This window comes from Homo sapiens, chromosome 15 (assembly GCF_000001405.40).
Source record: "Homo sapiens chromosome 15, GRCh38.p14 Primary Assembly".
In the NCBI taxonomy this organism is placed as follows: domain Eukaryota; kingdom Metazoa; phylum Chordata; class Mammalia; order Primates; family Hominidae; genus Homo; species Homo sapiens.
The window spans coordinates 45,402,283-45,421,415 of NC_000015.10; the positions used below are offsets into that span (position 1 = coordinate 45,402,283).

General features: G+C 41.5%; 1 protein-coding gene across 7 annotated transcripts, besides 3 other annotated features; it reads left to right on the forward strand.

The window, feature by feature from the left end:
• Positions 27-186: an enhancer, noted in NCBI's record as "active region_9360". NCBI's record gives its function as "activates an Ori minimal core promoter by ATAC-STARR-seq in GM12878 lymphoblastoid cells {active_cell/tissue: GM12878}" and the evidence as "EXISTENCE:reporter gene assay evidence [ECO:0000049][PMID:35858748]".
• AFG2B (AAA ATPase AFG2B) lies at positions 54-19,133 on the forward strand. Of its 7 annotated transcripts, none has more exons than NR_136646.2 (9): positions 54-1,236; positions 3,038-3,223; positions 4,747-4,941; positions 8,090-8,248; positions 12,289-12,498; positions 13,305-13,527; positions 14,987-15,117; positions 16,275-16,400; positions 18,761-19,133. NR_136646.2 is itself a non-coding variant. In NM_024063.3 (8 exons), the coding sequence occupies exons 1-8, from the start codon at positions 148-150 to the stop codon at positions 18,926-18,928; spliced, it is 2,262 nt and encodes a 753-aa protein (NP_076968.2). In that variant the 5' UTR covers positions 54-147; the 3' UTR covers positions 18,929-19,133. The 7 variants fall into 7 exon arrangements, 2 of the variants coding, with proteins under 2 accessions (NP_076968.2, NP_001310569.1); NR_136648.2 differs by having other exon boundaries at positions 13,305-13,497; NR_136647.2 differs by having other exon boundaries at positions 4,780-4,941.
• Positions 267-346: a silencer, noted in NCBI's record as "silent region_6407". NCBI's record gives its function as "represses an Ori minimal core promoter by ATAC-STARR-seq in GM12878 lymphoblastoid cells {active_cell/tissue: GM12878}" and the evidence as "EXISTENCE:reporter gene assay evidence [ECO:0000049][PMID:35858748]".
• Positions 737-886: a silencer, noted in NCBI's record as "silent region_6408". NCBI's record gives its function as "represses an Ori minimal core promoter by ATAC-STARR-seq in GM12878 lymphoblastoid cells {active_cell/tissue: GM12878}" and the evidence as "EXISTENCE:reporter gene assay evidence [ECO:0000049][PMID:35858748]".

The following is a 19,133-nucleotide window of genomic DNA, read 5'->3' on the forward strand; positions in this document are numbered from 1 at the left end:
TTTCGGCCTTCACTCAGCTGCTAGCAACGCAGTCTGCCCTAGCGCATGCGCGCAATCTGCTTCCGGCCTGCGAGCTCGGTGTTCCGCTTTTTGTGGGCCGGGTGGGTTTCCTAATCTGGTTTCGTCTGCCTGGTTCATCTGTGTGCGATGGCTCCGGACTCGGATCCCTTCCCTGAAGGGCCGCTCTTAAAGCTGCTACCCTTAGACGCTAGAGACCGGGGCACCCAGCGCTGCCGCCTGGGCCCGGCCGCCCTCCACGCCCTGGGCGCGCGCTTGGGCTCGGCAGTGAAGATCTCGCTACCCGACGGCGGCTCCTGCCTCTGCACTGCCTGGCCTCGGCGGGACGGAGCGGACGGCTTTGTGCAGCTGGACCCGCTGTGCGCGAGCCCCGGGGCGGCGGTCGGGGCGTCGAGATCCCGGAGGAGTCTCAGCCTGAATCGCCTCCTCCTAGTGCCCTGTCCGCCCCTGCGGCGCGTCGCCGTGTGGCCGGTGTTGCGAGAGCGGGCAGGCGCGCCCGGTGCCCGGAATACAGCCGCGGTGCTGGAGGCGGCACAGGAGCTGCTGAGAAACCGACCGATCTCCCTGGGCCACGTGGTGGTCGCTCCGCCAGGCGCTCCTGGCCTGGTGGCTGCCTTGCACATCGTCGGCGGGACGCCCAGTCCCGATCCCGCTGGGCTGGTCACCCCTCGTACCCGCGTCAGCCTTGGCGGGGAGCCTCCGTCGGAAGCCCAGCCGCAGCCCGAGGTGCCCCTGGGAGGTCTTTCGGAGGCGGCCGACTCGCTGCGGGAGCTCCTCCGCCTCCCGCTCCGCTACCCGCGCGCCCTGACCGCGCTGGGCTTAGCGGTGCCTCGCGGGGTGCTCCTGGCGGGGCCCCCCGGAGTGGGCAAGACCCAGCTGGTGCGGGCCGTGGCGCGCGAGGCGGGCGCGGAGCTGCTGGCAGTCAGCGCCCCGGCGCTGCAGGGTTCCCGGCCTGGGGAGACCGAGGAGAACGTGCGGCGGGTCTTCCAGCGCGCCCGGGAACTGGCCAGCCGCGGACCCAGCCTCCTCTTCCTGGACGAGATGGACGCCTTGTGTCCCCAGCGGGGCAGTCGAGCACCCGAGAGCCGCGTAGTGGCCCAGGTGTTGACGCTGCTGGACGGCGCCAGTGGGGACCGCGAGGTCGTGGTTGTGGGAGCCACTAACCGGCCGGACGCTCTAGACCCAGCGCTGCGTAGGCCCGGGAGATTTGACCGAGAGGTGAATGGGCTTGGCGGGTTTGCCCACTGTCGGTGGAACCTCGGCCGCTTCTGGCGCCATTTGGCTGCCCCGGAGGCGTTTGCCTCTTAGGTTTGAGCATCGGTGAGGTTGGAGTTGGGGCTCTTTGCAATGCAGAGAACACGTTCTCTGCCGATATATGATCTGTGAGTCAGGACCTGTATTTCCCCAGAGTCAAATTGTCAGGACCTGTGAGTCAGGATCTGAGAGTCAGGACCTGTTTCCCCAGAGTCTAATTGTTTTGGGAAGCGAGGTGTCCATTACAGATTAATTTTGTTGTGCAGGTCCTATAATCAGTAATGTTAATTCTTAAGAGAATTTTGGTCACCTACAAGCGTGTTAAACTCATTTTTTGGAATGAGAATTTAAAGAAGGATAGCCTCAAGAAGTAAGTGTGTTGAAATAAAAAGGGAGAAGGTGGGGAAGAACTAAATGGAAGCAGGCATTAACTCTTCTGGATTTATTCATTCCTTGTCATAACACCAGCATCCTATTCCACAATTGAGGAGGTACCCACAACTGCTCCCTGAGTTGTCAGGGAGGTTGAATATTCAGAGCTGTCCTATTTTAAGCTTTGGTCCTAAATTGACTTGAATTCTAAAGAACAGTTTGAAATTTAGTGACTGATATTTCTATTTTGTGATAGGATTCAAAAGAGAAATGATAATTACACACTTTTAGCTCAGTTAGTTCAGGACTTGAGTGGATTTCTTCCTTGCACTATCTAGTACCTGTGTCCTTAAGGGCAGGGACCTAGCTATCTATACCTGGCTTCTAGAACTTTGTGTGTTCTTAAAAATAACAAAAACTTGTTAAATGACATAGAATTTTCATTGTGCAACTTTCTAGCCAGTGTTACTCCTCTGGAATATTAGGATTTTCGTATATTCAGAATCTAAAGTATACGTAAAGTGCACGGTACTAGTTCCAAAGTGGTTCACTAAATTGTCGTACATGTTTGTCAGGATAAAAAACATATTATTATTTTGGCCGGGCGCGGTGGCTCACGCCTGCAATCTCAATACTTTGGGAGGCTGAGGTGGGTGGATCACCTGAGGTCAGGAGTTCGAGACCAGCCTGGCCAAGATGGTGAAACCCCGTCTCTGCTAAAAATACAAAAAATAAGCCGGGCATGGTGGCACATGCCTGTAGTTCTAGCTACTCTGGAGGCTGAGGCACCAGAATCACTTGAACCAGGAGGTGGAGGTTGCAGTGAGCTGAGATGGTGCCCGCTGCACTCCAGACTGGGCAGCAGAGTGAAACTGTGTCTCAAAAAAAAAAAAAAAAGAAAAAAAAAATATATATATGTATACACACACATATATAAAATTTTTTTGGAAGTAATTCTTTTTTAATTGATCTATTTTTATTGATACATAATTGTGCATGTTTTGGGGTACATGTGATATTTTGGTACATGCATACAATTTGTAATTATCAAATCAGGGTGCTTAGGATATCCATCACCTCAAACATTTATCATTTCTTATCTGAGTGTTGGGAATATTTCAGATTCTCTCTAGTAGCTATTTTGAAATATACGAGAAATTATTGTTAACTATAGTCACCCTACTACACTATCAAACATTACACATATTCCTTCTACCTAACTGTATGTTTGTACCCATGAGCCAACCTGTCTTCATCCCCTCACCCCCAACCCTTCCCAGTGTCTGGTTGCTATCATTCTGCTGTCTACCTCCATCCATGAGATCAACTTTAAAAATAATATATTTTAAACTATATACTTCTTCTTCTTTTTTTTGTTTTGCTTTGCATATAGGTGGTCATTGGGACTCCCACACTTAAACAAAGAAAGGAAATTCTGCAAGTGATTACCTCGAAGATGCCCATCTCCAGTCATGTTGATTTGGGCCTTCTTGCAGAAATGACAGTTGGCTATGTTGGTGCCGACCTGACAGCACTCTGTAGGGAGGCTGCCATGCATGCCCTCCTTCATAGTGAGAAGGTAAGAAGTGTTAATTTATGAACATCTATGTTAATCTATTATTGTAACAGATTAATTTGGGGGTTAAAAAAAAGCGGTGAGTACATTTTCCTTAGAACATTTGATAGCTTCCACAGCTGTTGCTTATACATTTTACATCTCAACTCTATATAAATAGTATATGATTGAGGGTGGGGATAAAGGGCTGAGTCCTCTGGGTCTACTGAGTGAATTTGTTCCCTACTCTTATAGTAACTCCCTAGTGCTGAAGCCCAGAGCAGCCAAGAAATAGTGTGGCCCCAGAAGAATCAAAGAGTTTTTTTAATTTGAATTTTTTTATTTTGAGGCAATTTCAGACTTAGAAGTTACAAAAATAGTACAAAGAGTTTCCATATACCCTTCTCCTAGATTCTCCAAATGTAACATTTGCCACATTTGCTTTATCATTCTCTCTTCATGTGTATTTCCTTATATATATACATATATATAATGAAATATTTGAGCATATACTACATCCATGATGCCCCTTTACCCGCGAAAACGTAAGTGTATATTTCTGAAAAACAAGGACCTTAACCACAGTATGATGATCAAGCTGAGAAAATTAACGCAGACATAATACTTGTACTTAACCTAAATAGGCCTTAATCTAGAATCATACTTCAGGCTTTCTTCTATGAAAACATAACTTTTTAAGAGTCAGTTATTCTGTGGAATATTCGTCAGTTTGGGTTTGACTAATGTTTCTTCATGATTCAATTCAGGTTTTGCATTTTGGGCAGGAATATAATAGAAATGATCCTGTGTCTTTCTCATTGCATCTGTTAGGCAGCACATGATATGTTTCTGTTCTATCACTGGTGAAGTTAACTTTGATTTCTTGGTTAAGGTGGTGTCTGTGAGATTTCTCCATTGTCAAGATACCGTTTTTCCCTTTGTTATTAATAAGTATCTAGTGGGAGAAATAAGCTTTTCTAACCTAGGAGAAGATTGGGCACTTGGAATTGTATTTAAATTTGTCCTTGATCTGCAGGTCTGTAATTCATGACTATTTCCTAACAATATTTAAGATATTAGATTAAATATAATACTTTTCAACTTTGTTGGTTGTAAAATCCAGTATTTTGTATATAATAAATAGTCCTGAATCCTTAAACCCATTCAGGAAAAAACTGATTTCAGCAGGCTAAGGATTCTGAAACAGAGTTTTCAATCTCATTTGTAACATCAAAATTGTCTTTTCATCTTAAACTGCAAAAGAATGATTTATTATCCTAAATTTTGAAAAACCTTTTTACCTAAATAATTTATACCTTGCCTCACTTCCTTTCCTTTATTTCTACAGTTACACCGAAGGTGGGGAGGAGTTATGTGATCTTCTAGTTGATCTTTTAAGTCTTCATCTTGTAGGTTTAGACCAAAACTACTTGAAGTTTTAAAGTTCTGTGTGTAAAGATGTGAGAATAGATGTCTTTTGAGGGAGACAATAAGTAAGCAGGAGATGGGAAGGGAGATTTACATTCAGGATTTCCTCTGCTTTGAAGTTCCAGGTTTGACCATAAGCACCTCTCACTTAGGTGGACCAGTCAGCTGCTGTCGTCCCAGGGTGGAGCCCACTGCTACTTCAGGAGGGGCCTGCTCAGGTGTAGTTACCACAGGTGATGGCTGAGTTCAGAAACAACCCAGGGGAAGTGGAAGGAAGAAAGGCAAAAAGCATGAAGGGACAGACAACTGGGAAGGTACTGGCTCCATCTTTTATTCTTTCCCCCACCAGCTGAGGGGCTGCTGCTACCTCTCCCTGTACCAGGGCAGATAAGGGATACCTTACACTTTGTTAAACTTTTTGTGAAGTATTCCTATTAAAGGATTAGAACTGTAGTTTAACACTCAGACACACACAGAGGGGAAAGAATGTATAAGCCCAAAGAATCAAGTAAAATAATGTGTACACACATGATCTTGAACTATAAATGAGATTTTCAAATATTAGTTCGTGTTACCTAAAGATTAGTTAATATTTGGACATCAGACACCTAACATACTATCAGCCAGTTAAAAAGGCTTTTTTTTAAGTATATAATAGGGTTATTCATGAGAAATGAAGATAGAAAATTATAAAGAACTGCCTACCTGAAATCTCACTTTCCAGAGATGACAATTGTTAACACTTTTGGGAGAATACTTTACAGAATAGCTCTATACATACAGATTCACTTAACATCTGTTTACAAATAAGAAAAGACAGTTTGTTTTTGAAAACGGGAATTTGTGGACAACTAGATGTTTAGAATTGGATATAAGAGGGCAAATACTTTAATAAATACAGTACAGATATTTTTAATAAAATTTTCAGGACTTTTTAACTAACAAAAAAAAATGTGTTTCACTAGAATGATCAAGGAGAATGTAAAGAGTCTCCAAAATATAACCTGAGAGTGAAGACGACTTCTCTAGGCATAACATAAACCTTAATAGCCAAAAAAGAGATTATTTGCTGAGTTGACCATTTGGGGGTGGCAAAACAATACTATAAAGTAGTCAGACTAGGAAAAATACTTTTAGTCCAATTTCCTTGATAGGGAATGAACAAATCTTACAAATCAGTAAGAAAAGACCAACAGTCCAAGAGAAAATGGGTAATGGGGTATGAACAGGTAGTTGACAATAAAAGGAATGACAATAAACATGAAAGATGTTCAACCTTGATTTCTTCTAAAATTATTGTCTTTATTTTGAAATAATTAAAACTTATAGGAAAGTTGCAAGATAGTTACAAAGAACTTCCACTAAACCCTTTATCCAAATTCACCAATTTTTAACTTTTTGCCAAATAAGCTTTATCATTCTCTTTTGCTCTCCTTGCTCCCTCTCCTCTTCTCTTTCTCTCTCTCTCTGTCATCTCCATATATATGTATTTATATGCACATAGTATTTATTTATTTTGGACTATTTGAGAGAATGGGTTGCATATATCATGACACTTTATCCCTTAACATTTTAATGTCTATTTCCTAAGAACAGAAATGTTCCCATATGTCACCACAGTATGGTGATGTATAGTGTTGTGTCCTTAGAGCCTCACATGTAGAGGCACAGAGTGTACATTGGTTCCTCATTGGTGATGCTAACTTTTATCAACTAGTTCAGGCAGTGCGCAGTTTCTCCACTGTGGAACTGCTATTTTTCCCTTTGCCACTAATGAGAAATCTGTGGGGAGACACTTTGAGATATCCTGCTCCTCATCAAACTTTCAGGCTGGGCACAGTGGCTTACACCTGTAGTCCCAGCTGCTCAGGAGGCTGAGATAGAATGATCACTTGAGCCCAGGTGTTCGAGGCTCAATGAGCTGTTGCCTCAATGCCACTGCACTCCAGCCTGGGCAGCAGAGCAAGACCCTGTCTCATAAATGAATAAACTTTTACTCCCCTCAACATAGCATCCAATTCTTGCTCATAACAGCCTTTACTATCATGATTGCAAGACGGGCGATTTTTTTAATTCCAATATTCCCTCTACCTCATTTTGAATTGAAGAAATTTAGTTAACACAGTAATGAATGAGTACTGGTTCTTCCTGTCATATTGGCAGACATTTAAGAGTTTGGAAATGGGCCACGTGCGGTGGCTCACACCTATAATCCCAGCACTTTGGGAGGCTGAGATGGGTGGGTCAGTTGAGGTCAGGAGTTCAAGACCAGCCTGGCCAACATGGGGAAACCCCGTCTCTGCTAAAAATACAAAAATTAGTCAGGTGTGGTGGCTCATGCCTATAAATCCCAGCTACTCGGTAGGCTGAGGCACGAGAATCATTTGAACCCAGGAGGCGGAGGCTGCAGGGAGCCAAGATCACAGCACTGCACTCCAACCTGGGTGACAGAGTGAGACCCCGCCAAAAAAAAAAAAAAAAAGAGTTTGATAATGTCTGTACTGGAGAGGTGTGGAGAGAACACAGCTTCATATTATCGGAGAAGAATAAATTGTTGCAGCTTCCTTAGAGGACAATTTGGTAATAGCTGTCAAAATTGTATATGTGTGTACTTGTAAACCCAGTAATTCTACTTTGAGGAAATTATTACATAAAATACTTGAACATGAGTTTGAACATGGTGGCTCATGCCTGTAATCCCAGCACTTTGGGAGGCTGAGGTGGGAGGATCGCTCGAGCCCATGAGTTCCAGACCAGCCTGGGCAACATAGGGAGACCGCATCTCTACAAAAAAAAAATATATATATTTTTTTAATTAGCCAGGCTGGTGGCACATACCTGTAGTTCTAGCTACTCCGGAGGGTGAGGTGCAAGGATTACTTGAGCCTGGGAGACTGCAGTGAGCTATGATAACATCACTGCATTCCAGCCTGGGTAACAGAGTGAGACCCTGTCTCAAAATAAACAAATACTTGAACATGAGCACAAAGACTTTTTCAGTTGCAGCTTTGTTTTTAATATCTAAAGACTGGGGATGACCTAACGTTTGTCAGAAAGGTGTAGTTGGGGTAAATTCAGTAGTGTATTATGGAATTGTCAAAAAGAATGACGTAGAACTGTGTTAGTTGACATGAAAAGCTCTCTAAGATAGGTGAAAGAAGAAAAGTACAGGCTGATATAGTATGGTTCCATTTGTGTATCTGTTTAAAAGGATATATGTATGCTTACTAGCATAACATACTGGAAAAATACACAAACTCTTGACATCTTTCGGGGAAGAATTACTGGCAGGAATTGGCAGGGAGACATTTAATTCTTTGTACTATGTATATAAATTGTTTTTATAATGATAACAAAATAACTTTACAAATCCAAAAGAAGATTTTAAAAACAAATTGTGCTATAAAAAAAGACCAACCTAATTTTTGGTTTGATTTTGCTTTTTTGGGTGTATTTCTTCAGAACCAGGACAATCCTGTGATTGATGAAATAGACTTCCTTGAAGCTTTTAAAAATATTCAGCCCTCATCGTTTCGAAGCGTCATTGGATTAATGGATATCAAGCCTGTTGACTGGGAGGAGATTGGTGGCCTTGAAGATGTAAAACTGAAGTTAAAACAGGTAAGACAGATAATCTACTTAATCCAGTAGGATATTACAGATTAACATTCTGTGCATTTATGATGACAACATACTGCGCTGAAACTGCTCTTGCTCCTATCACTAATGTGATCCTAACATCTAAATCCAATGATTGCTTTTCAGTCCTTATTTAATTGGACTTCTGTGGATGTCTAAACTGGTTTTTATAATTTCCCACCTCGACCCTCTCTTTGTTTTTGCTTTAAAGAGTTTATAACCTAAGGCTGGGTGTGGTGGCTTATGTCTATAATCCCAGCACTTTGGGAGGCCAAGGGAGGAGGATTGCTTGAGTTCAGGAGTTCAAAACCAGCCTGGGCAACATAGCAAGCCCTTGTCGCTATTTAAAAAAAAATAAGTTTATAATCTAAGGCTGGGCGCAGTGGCTCATACCTATAATCTCAGCATTTTAGGAGGTTGAGGTGGGTGGATCACCTGAGGTCAGGAGTTCAAGACCAGCCTGGCCAACATGGTGAAACCCCGTCTCTACTAAAAATACAAAAATTAGCTGGGCATGCTGGCAGGTGCCCATAATCCCAGCTACTCGGAAGGCTGAGGCAGGAGAATCACTTGAACCCGGGAGGCAGAGGTTGCAGTGAGCCAAGATCCCACCACTGCACGACAGCCTGGGCAACAGAGAAACCGTGTCCGGGGGGAAAAAAGTGTATAACCTATAGTCTTAGCACTTTAGAAGGCCGAGACAGGAGGATCTCTTGAGGCCAAGAGTTCAAGACCAGACTGGGCAACAAAGTAAGACTCCCCATCTCTATTTAAAAAAATTATTTTGACACATGTTTGCTCTGTCACCCAGGCTGGAGTATTGTGTCACAAACACAGCTCACTGCACCCTTGAACTCCTGGGCTCAAGCAGTCCTTCTGCCTCAGTGCCCCACCAAGTAGCTGGGACTACAGGTGCATACCACCACGCCTGGCTAATTTTTAAATTTTTTGTAGAGATAGAGTCCCACTGTGCTACTCAAGCTGGCCTTGAACTCCTGGGCTTAAACAGTCCTCCAACTCGGCCTCCTAAAATGGTGGGATTATAGTCATGAGCCACCATGCCTGGCCTACAAAAAATTTTTTTAAATTAGCCAGGTGTGGTAGCACGTGCTTATGGTCCTAGCTACTCAGGAGGATCACTTGAGGCTTGACCCCAGGACACCCAGGAGATCGAGGCTGCAGTGAGCTATGATTGCACCACTGCACTGCAGCTTGGGCAACAGAGCGAGATCCTGTGTCTTTAAAAAAAAATTAAAAAACAATTTTGACTGGGCATGGTGGCTTACACCTGTAATCCCAGCACTTTGGGAGGCCGAGGCAGGCAGATCACCTGAGGTCAGGAATTAGAAACCAACCTGGCTGGCATGGAGAAACCCCATTTCTACTAAAAATGCAAAAAATTAGCCAGGCGTGGTGGCGCATGCCTGTAATCCCAGCTACTCAGGAGGCTGAGGCAGGAGAATCGCTTGAACCCGGGAGGTGGAGGTTGCAGTGAGCCAAGACCACGCCATTGTACTCCAGCTTGAGCAACAAAAGTGAAACTCCATCTCAAAAAAACAAAAACAATTTATAGGCCGGGCGTGGTGGCTCACACCAGTAATCCCAGCACTTTGGGAGGCCGAGGCAGGAGGATCACGAGGTCAGGAGTTCAAGACCAGCCTGGCCAACATGGTGAAACCCTGTCTCTACTAAAAATACAAAAATCAGCCAGGTGTGGTGGCGCAAGCCTGTAATCCCAACTACTGGGAAGGCTGAGGCAGGAGAATCGCTTCAACCTAAGAGGCTGAGGTTGCAGTGAGCTGAGGTTGCACCACTGCACTCTAGCCTGGGACAGAGTGAGACTCCGTCTCAAAAAAAAAAAAAATTATAATCTAAAACGGGGGTCAACAGATTTCTGTAGAGAGAGCCACATAGTCAATGTTTTAAGCTTTGTGATCCACAGTCTCTGTCATAACCACTCACCTCTGCCGTTGTAGCACCAAAGCAGCTGTAGACCATATGTAAATTAGTAATTGTATTCTGATAAAAGTATAGACACTGAAATTATATAATTTTCACATGTCAGAAAATATTCTTTTGATTTTTTTTCAAGCATTTACAAATGTAAAAACTATTCTTAGTTTGGGCTGTACCAAATAAAGGTGGAAGGCCTTAGTTTGCCTGGATCTCTGATCTAAAAGACGTTAAATGGATGCAGTACAGGGACTGGTAAAAGCACAAAATTGAAATGAACAATATGGCTACCTGATAGTGGATTTCACAGTGGAAGCTGTGGGACGCAACTCTTCAGATCCTCTCACCTGCGTTACAGTTTCAGAAATTGATTTTGCCAATTCGCCTACATGTGATCCTGCCCTAATGAACTAGGTTTCTCTAACCACACACATAACAGACTGATATATAAGTAATAATTATAATTTATTCATCTTAACCAGGAGATCTATCTCCAGTGAACCCTAGAATTTTTGAGTCCATGGATAAGAGCATTTATAATATGCGCCAATATTTTTTATGCATTGTCTCATTTAATGTTCACAAGATGCATGAGAGAAATTAACCACACCTTCCTGTTGGAAGCACTCTGTTTCCTTAGCTTTGAGACATTAAGCTTTTCTGCCTTTCTGGCCACCCTCTCCCCTCCCTTAAATGTTAGTGCTCAAGAGGCTCCCAGAGTCCTCCTCTTGTTGGAGCTGTGGGTGATTTTATGATGATCTTGATGTCCACAGCATCCCTGAAAACTGTTGACTCAGAAATCTGTATATCTAGAGTAGACATTTCTTCTGATCATCAGAACTACTTCACTGCCTGCCTACTGGATAACCCCAGGGATGTCAAACTCAGCATGTAAAAAGTTCAGCTAGTCAGCTCTGCCCCCACACTTGGATTCCCTACCTCAGTTAATACAGCCAGCCACCCCATCCCCTAAGTCAGAAATCTGTCTTCTAAAGGCATAGCATCAGAACTTTGTCCCTATGTAAAGTACAATTCTGTTTTATGTTTCAAATATCCATCCCTTCCACACCATCTTCACTGCTTGTGACACTCCAGCCTTATTATTTTTGTAGGCTGAATCATTGCAAGAAACTTGTAGCTGGTCTCCCTGCCTCTAGTTTAATTTCCTTCCAGTCCATTCTCCATACTGCTTCCTCAGTGCAGACTAAAGCTTTCAAGGCCTATTGTGATCTGACTCCTACCTCCACTTCAACACCGTTGCTCCTTGCTGGTGCTCTTGAATTACATTGTCTGGGGTCAGTATTGGTTCTGCCACCTCATTAGCAGTAAGACCTAGGCAAATTACTTAACTTTTTTTAGGCCCGAGTTTTTTTGCATCTGTAAAATAATGATTAAAGTGGTTAAAAACCATTTACCTTAAAGGTAATGAGGACTCATTCATTATTCGGTTTACTGTTACTGAGTGCCTCCTTTGGGTAGGTGTCATTCTAGCTGCTGGGGATTTTGAGGTGAGCTTTGCTTACGTTCTAGCAGAGCAGAATGACAAACCCAACGTGGAAAAATAATAATAGTGAATACTTGCTTTAAAAGTAAAGGATGGGCAGTAGCATAGAGAGTGAGTAGGAGGAGGGGGTTCCGCTTTAACCAGGTAGTTAGGAAAGACTAACTCCAAGGAATTGACACCTGCGCTGAGACCTGAGTGATGAGGGATAGCCACACGAAGATCTTGGGGAACGTTCAGGCAGAGAGAAAAGCAAGGAAAGGCTCTGAGATGGGAACAAACTAAGTGTTTAGGAGACAGTCAGATTATATAAGGCCTTGTCAGCTGTGGCGAGTAAGGAGTTTGGATTTGGATTTTATTCTAGTTCTAATAGTAAATCATTGAAGGATTTTAAACAGGAAGTGGTATCACCTGATTCAAATGATAAGATCTCTGCAGTGTGGAGAATGGACTGTTTCCAGCTCATAATAGGAGGCTGAGAATTGTTAAATGAAGAAATGAATTTACTGGATGATATGACATTTTATTATTATACTAAAACAACTCTTCTCTTTTTGTGTACTTTCAGAGCATTGAGTGGCCTCTGAAATTCCCTTGGGAATTTGTTAGAATGGGCCTGACACAACCAAAGGGAGTTCTCCTCTATGGGCCCCCTGGATGTGCTAAAACCACTCTGGTGAGGGCCCTGGCCACAAGCTGTCACTGCTCTTTCGTTTCAGTGAGTGGAGCTGATCTGTTTTCACCGTTTGTTGGAGATTCAGAAAAAGTGTTGTCTCAGGTTTGTTTATTTCCCCATATGTTTAAATTTACTTTTGAATTTTTATTTCATTTCTTATGGACAAACCTTTTTAAAAATATTACTAGTGTTTTTTCCAGTTAAAAAATTTATACGTTTATTGAAAAATTTAGAAAATATAGGAAAGTGTAAATATGAAATCCTTCATAATCCTCCTACCTACTGTTAACATTTTGGTGAATTTCCTTTGTCTTTTTTTCTGTTTTAAATAAAATCAAAGGTAGGTTTTATATATCTATAGCTTTATCCTGCTTTTTTAAACTTAATATTACTACTTTTGAAATTTATAGTATTCTTTGAAAATATGGTTTTTAACTCTTACATAATACTCCATTGTTTCTTGTTTTATTTACTCATTCCCCAATTCATAGACATTCAGAATCTTTTTTATATCTATTTTAAAAATTATAAATAGTGGCCAGGCATGGTGGCTTATGCATGTAATCCCAGCACTTTGGGAGGCCAAGGCGGGTGAATAACTTTAGGCCAGGAGTTCAAGACCAGCCTGGCCAACGTGGCAAAACCCCGTCTCTACTAAAAATACAAAAAAATTAAGTGGACGTGGTAGCGCACCCTATAATCTCAGCTACTCGAGAGACTGAGGCACAAGAATTGCTTGAGCCTGGGAGGCAGAAGTTGCAGTGAGCTGAAATCGCATCACTACACTCCAAACTGAGCAACAGAGCAAGACTGTCTCAAAAAAAAAAAAAAAAACAGGATTATAAATAGTAATATCACATGACTAATGTATAACATATAGCTTTTTAATATTTTTTTCCTAACAAAAGATATTTCGACAAGCAAGAGCAAGCACTCCAGCAATTTTGTTTTTGGATGAAATTGATTCAATCTTGGGAGCTCGCTCAGCCAGCAAGACAGGATGTGATGTTCAAGAACGAGTTCTTTCTGTTCTCCTGAATGAATTAGATGGTGTTGGACTTAAGACAATAGAGAGAAGAGGAAGTAAATCAAGTCAACAGGGTAAATACAAGGAGCTGAAAAAATGAAGAGGTATTTATTAGCCAGAATGCACCTAAAATCCAGGCCAACATTAAATATAATGCATATATGCTATAGCTTTACCTATGCTGAATTCATCTCATAGAAGGATTTATATAATTTCAGTTTGACTTTGTTAGGACTTTTAGAGCTAATAAAAATTGTGATTTGGCTAGGAAAGGTGAGGTACATTTTATAATAAATTATCTTAAATATAAGAATGTGAATTTTATTTTTCCTAAGAATGAGAAATATAATTTTACTTATTGCTAATAGAGAAGGCAGTTTATTCTTGTTTGCATGTCCTAAAAACCAGTATTCATTTCTTTCTAAAAATGTTTATGTAGACTGGGCACAGTGGCACACGCCTGTAATCCCAGCACTTTGGGAGGCCAAGGCAGAAGGGTTGCTTGAGGCCAGGAGTTTGAGACTAGCCTGGCCAACATAGCAAGGCCCCATATCTGAATGAATGAATGAATGAATGAAAAACAAAGGAGATTATTATTTCCAATAGTCTTAGTAATGGAACATTTCCAGTTTTCTTGAGGAATGAGTTTCTTTGGTTTTAATGAATTAAAATGGCCTTTGGAAGTCCCCTCCCTCTTTCTGAGTCTCTTCTCCAGATGAGTTTGGTATCCTTAAATTGTCCCTGATACTTTTTCTTTTATTCCTCTCTCGTTCTCATTCTTTTCCTATTTTAAAAATTGTCATATGGAATTGTTGCATACACTCCTTAGGAATATGTCACACTAGAATTAGGAGGTATCCACGAGGTTATCTAATCAAATCATTTCAAAATGCAGGAATTCCTTCTATAGCATCTGACAGGTATTCACCCAGCATCTGCTAAAATACTTGCAAATATAGGGAACTTTGTACTTTGAGGGATTACGTCACTGGAGAGCTGCCTGATTATTCAACAAATGATTTTGAATGCTTAGTATATGTAAAGCCTTTCTCTGTCTGCTTTTAGACATTTCTTTATCCAGGATTTGCGCACCTGCAACTTAGATTGTCATTTCAAAGAAAAATAAAAGGTCGAGTAAATCTTCCTCTTTAGGGATATGAGAGTCAAGACTTTCTGTAGCCATATATCTCCACCGGTTGGTCATAAGTATCTGTCTTTTTAAGTAGCCTGTTTAAGGTGTAAGCCTTCATTGGAGGCTCAGGTGCACTCAAGTCACCAGATGAGTGTTCTCCCCTTTGGGATAAGGCTTTTCATAGGTTCTCATATGGAGAATGTTTCTCTTAGCTACTCCCTTAGCCATGCACACAAAGTAGCTCTTTGGTTAATGATTTGTTTCTGGGATATCTTGATATCAAGAAGCTGGTCTGGAAAGCGGATATAAGCATTCTGGTCCCAAGAAAAGGATATCCCTATTTGAATTTAAATAGACCTTCTGATTTATAATTTTTAGAAAACTTATTAACAACTGATTGACATTACTTTGTGTTGTGTGTTTGCCCTCAGAGTTTCAAGAAGTTTTTAACCGAAGTGTCATGATTATTGCAGCAACAAATAGACCTGATGTGTTAGATACTGCTTTGTTACGACCTGGAAGATTAGATAAGATCATCTATATCCCACCTCCAGATCACAAGGTAGTCATTTACACATTTACTCTGTGTGAGCTCAGCAGAATTGAATTCCAACTTGGATATAGGTGTCCATGGTGTTCTACTTACCCTGGGTTCCGCCTTCTTCCTTGCCTGGTGGCCTTTCATGACATCATAATTTTGATCTTCCTTTGTTGGATACTCTGATCTTGTTCACAGAGAAACATAAGCCTAAATATATGGTGGTTATTTTTTGTGTTGTGGCAGACTCTAAATACTGAGTCTACTCAGCGTTATTTTGCAACTAGAGTGGAGGAATCCTAAAGTGTTAAAAGGGCTTTGAAGATTGAGTCAGCATCCTTATCATACAGTGCAGAAGTCTGAAATTACAGAGATTATGCAGTGTATCGTGGTCAACCAGTAAATTTGTTGTCCGTAAAGTACGGTGCAGAAATCTGAGATTACAGAGATTATGCAGTGTATCATGGTCAACCAGTACATTTTTTGTCGTTAACATCCAGAGCCACTGACAGGGAGGGTGAAAGGCACAGAGTGAATTTTTTTGTTCCTTGGGCTTTTATCAAGTTTTGAAGGGATAGAAAAATAAAATTTAATATCTATTATACCTTTAAGTTGTATCTGATAATTCATGTATTTGCTTCTTAAGCCATGTCTGATAGTATTATTTGTACCCAAGAGAGAGATTTAGCCGGGCGTGGTGGCTCACATCTGTAATCCCAGCACTTTGGGAGGCCAAGGCGGGTAGATCACCAGAGGTCAGGAGTTCGAGACTAGCCTGGCCAACATGGTGAAACCCCATCTCTACTAAAAATACAAAAATTAGCTGGATGTGGTGGCAGGCGCCTGTAATCCCAGCTACTTGGGAGGCTGAGACAGGAGAATCACTTGAACCCGGGAGGTGGAGGTTGTAGTGAGCCAAGATCGTGCCAGTGTACTCCAGCCTGGGTGACAGAGCGAGACTCCATCTCAAAAAAAAAAAAAAAAAAAAGATTCATAAGTTTTTTATGATGTCGTTATTTTTACCATTGTCATATAAGCCATTGATGACTTAGTCTTTCTAACCCCTATATATATTTTCTCGGTAATGTGAAAGGAAACTCAAGCTAAAAATATTTTAATAAATCATTGTGTCAAACATAAATGTTATAAGATTTAAAATACTGTTTTTTATTTTGTTCCAGGGCAGGCTTTCTATTTTAAAAGTCTGTACAAAAACCATGCCAATAGGGCCTGATGTCTCCTTAGAAAACCTCGCAGCAGAAACCTGTTTTTTTTCTGGAGCTGATCTTAGAAACCTCTGCACAGAAGTAAGTTAATTATTGAAGAAATTTGTGGTTCAAAACATTTCTGCATCTTTTCAAATCTTCATTCACTCAGCAGTATTTACTAAAAGCCTGTGTGGTACCATGTGATGTGAAACAGACAGATGTGGCCCCATCCCTCACACAGCTTATTGTAAGTGTGGGGTGGTGAGGAGGGTGGTGCAGAGAGGCAAATCTTAATACTGAGTTGGCAATTGAAAATATGTAGTGAGTTGCGGAAGTAGAGGGTACTGTGGGAGCACCTAGGAAAGACACCAGCCCAGATTTGGCACATCAGAGAAGGCTTTCTGAGAAAGGAGATGTATAAACTGAAATTGGAAGGACAAATCGGGAGTTAGCCAGCTAAGAAGGGAAGGGGGAATGTTTGAGGTGGAGAGAATAAAATGTGCAAAGGATTGAAGATAAGAGATGGTGTGACATTATTGAATCTTAGAGTGGAGAATGGCAAGAAATAAAGCGAAAGAAGTGGGCTAGGCGTGGTGGCTCGTGCCTGTGATCCCAGCATTTTGGGAGGCCAAGGCGAGAGGATTGCTTTAGCCCAGGAGTTTAAGATCAGCCTGGGTAATACAGTGAGACCCCATCTCTAGAAAAAATAAAAAATTAGTCAAATGTGGTGTTAGTCCCAGCTACGTGGGGGACTAGTAGTCCCAGCTACTTGGGAGGGGGAGATGGGAGGATTGCTTGAGCCTGGGAAGCGAAGGTTGCAGTAAGATGAGATCGTGCCGCTGCACTCCAGCCTGGGTGACAGAGTGAGACTCTGTCTCTTAGGAAAAAAAAAAAGCTGAAGGAGTAGACAATGGCCAGGACACACGGGTCCTTGTAAACCACTCTAAGATACCCTTTTTCGTAAACTTTTACTAAATATAACATTCAGAAAAATGCACGGATCATAAGGGTACAGTTCATTGAATTAAAGTGATCACATTTTTATAATCACTACTTATGTCAAGAAATAGAACATTATAAACACCCCAGAATCTTCCTTTGGGCCCTTTCCCAACCTCTGTCACCTACCTTCTTCCAAAAGAGAACTATTGGCTGGGCTTAGTGACTCATGCCTGTAATCCCAGCATTTTGTTGGGGCCAAGGCAGGAGGATCATCTGAGCCCAGGAGTTGAGACCAACCTGGGCAACATGGGGAGACCCTGTCTCTACAAAAACTTTTAAAAAATTGTCCCAGCTACTCAGGAGGCTGAGGTGGGAGGATCACTTGAGCCTGGAGGTCAAGGCTGTAGTGAGCCATGATTGTGTCACTGTACTTCTGCCTGGGTGACAGAGCAAGACTCTGTCCCCCCCCCCCAAAAAAAAAAAAAAAAACAAAAAACAAAACAAAAGGGAACCACTCTCCTGACTAACAACAGTGGGGATTAGTTTTGTCTGCTTTTGAACTTTATATGAATGGAAGCATGTGGCATATGTTATTTTCTGTCTGGTTCTTTAACCTAAAAAGAAATTTATCCATAGTTTTGTGTGTAGCATAGTTTATAATATTCTAGTATATGAATATTCTACATTTGTTTATCCATTCTTTTATTTTGGAATATCTGGGTTTCTACTTTTTTGCTATTATGAGTTATGCTGCTGTGAACAGCCTTGTACATGTCTCTTAGTTCCCGTGTCTATTTATGTCTATTTGTAAACATAGTTAGCTACAAGGAGAATTGCTGGGTCATAGGGTATGTGTTTGATCTATTCCTTTATAATCAGTGCTGGCTGAAGACTCTTCCCTACTTAACGATCAGGAAGATATTCTCTCATCTTTAAAAATACATATGGGTTCATAAAATACATATTAATCTGCAACTTGCCTTTTCTTTCTTCTCATTTAATGCTTTCTTTTTTCCCATTAATGTAAAGAGGTTATGGTCTGCAAAGTGGATTTCTAATCACCTTATTTAACTTTTTAGCATAATGTTTTTAGTGACATGAAAATTAGAATCCTATGAAGTGAGGCTGAGATTTTCCATTCAGAGTTTAAAGTATTACCATATATTGTTAAAAAAAAAAGAAAAGAAGCCAGGCGCTGTGGCTCACACCTGTAATCCCAGCACTTTGGGAGGCTGAAGCAGGTGGATCATGAGGTCAGGAGTTCAAGATGAGCCCGGCCAACATGGTGAAACCCTGTCTCTACTAAAAATACAAAAATTAGTTGGGCGTGGTGGCAGCCTTCTGTAATCCCAGCTACTTGGGAGGCTGAGGCAGGAGAATTGCTTGAAACCAGAAGACGGAGGTTGCAGTGAGTCCAGATCGTGCCACTGCACTCCAGCCTGGGCAATAAGAGCAAAACTCCATCTCAAAGAAAAAAAAGCAAAAGAAATTGTTTTCTATTGCTTGTCTCTTAATAGGCTGCTTTGCTGGCTCTGCAAGAAAATGGACTAGACGCAACTACAGTGAAACAAGAGCACTTTCTAAAATCACTTAAGACTGTAAAACCGTCGTTAAGTTGCAAGGACTTGGCTTTATATGAAAACTTATTTAAGAAAGAAGGATTTTCTAACGTGGAAGGTATTTAAAAATCACCTTAAACTCTTGTTCAGTTCACATTAATTGAAATGTGAACTTGCCTGTCGTTTGCAACTTCACACTTTTAGAATTTGTGTTTATATTTCCTGTAAGTGAATAAATAAAACAAAACAAAACAAAAAAAACTTGTGCCTGATAAGCTAAGGCTCATTTATTTTTAAAAGGCATATTAAATAAAATACTGTAATTTAGGAA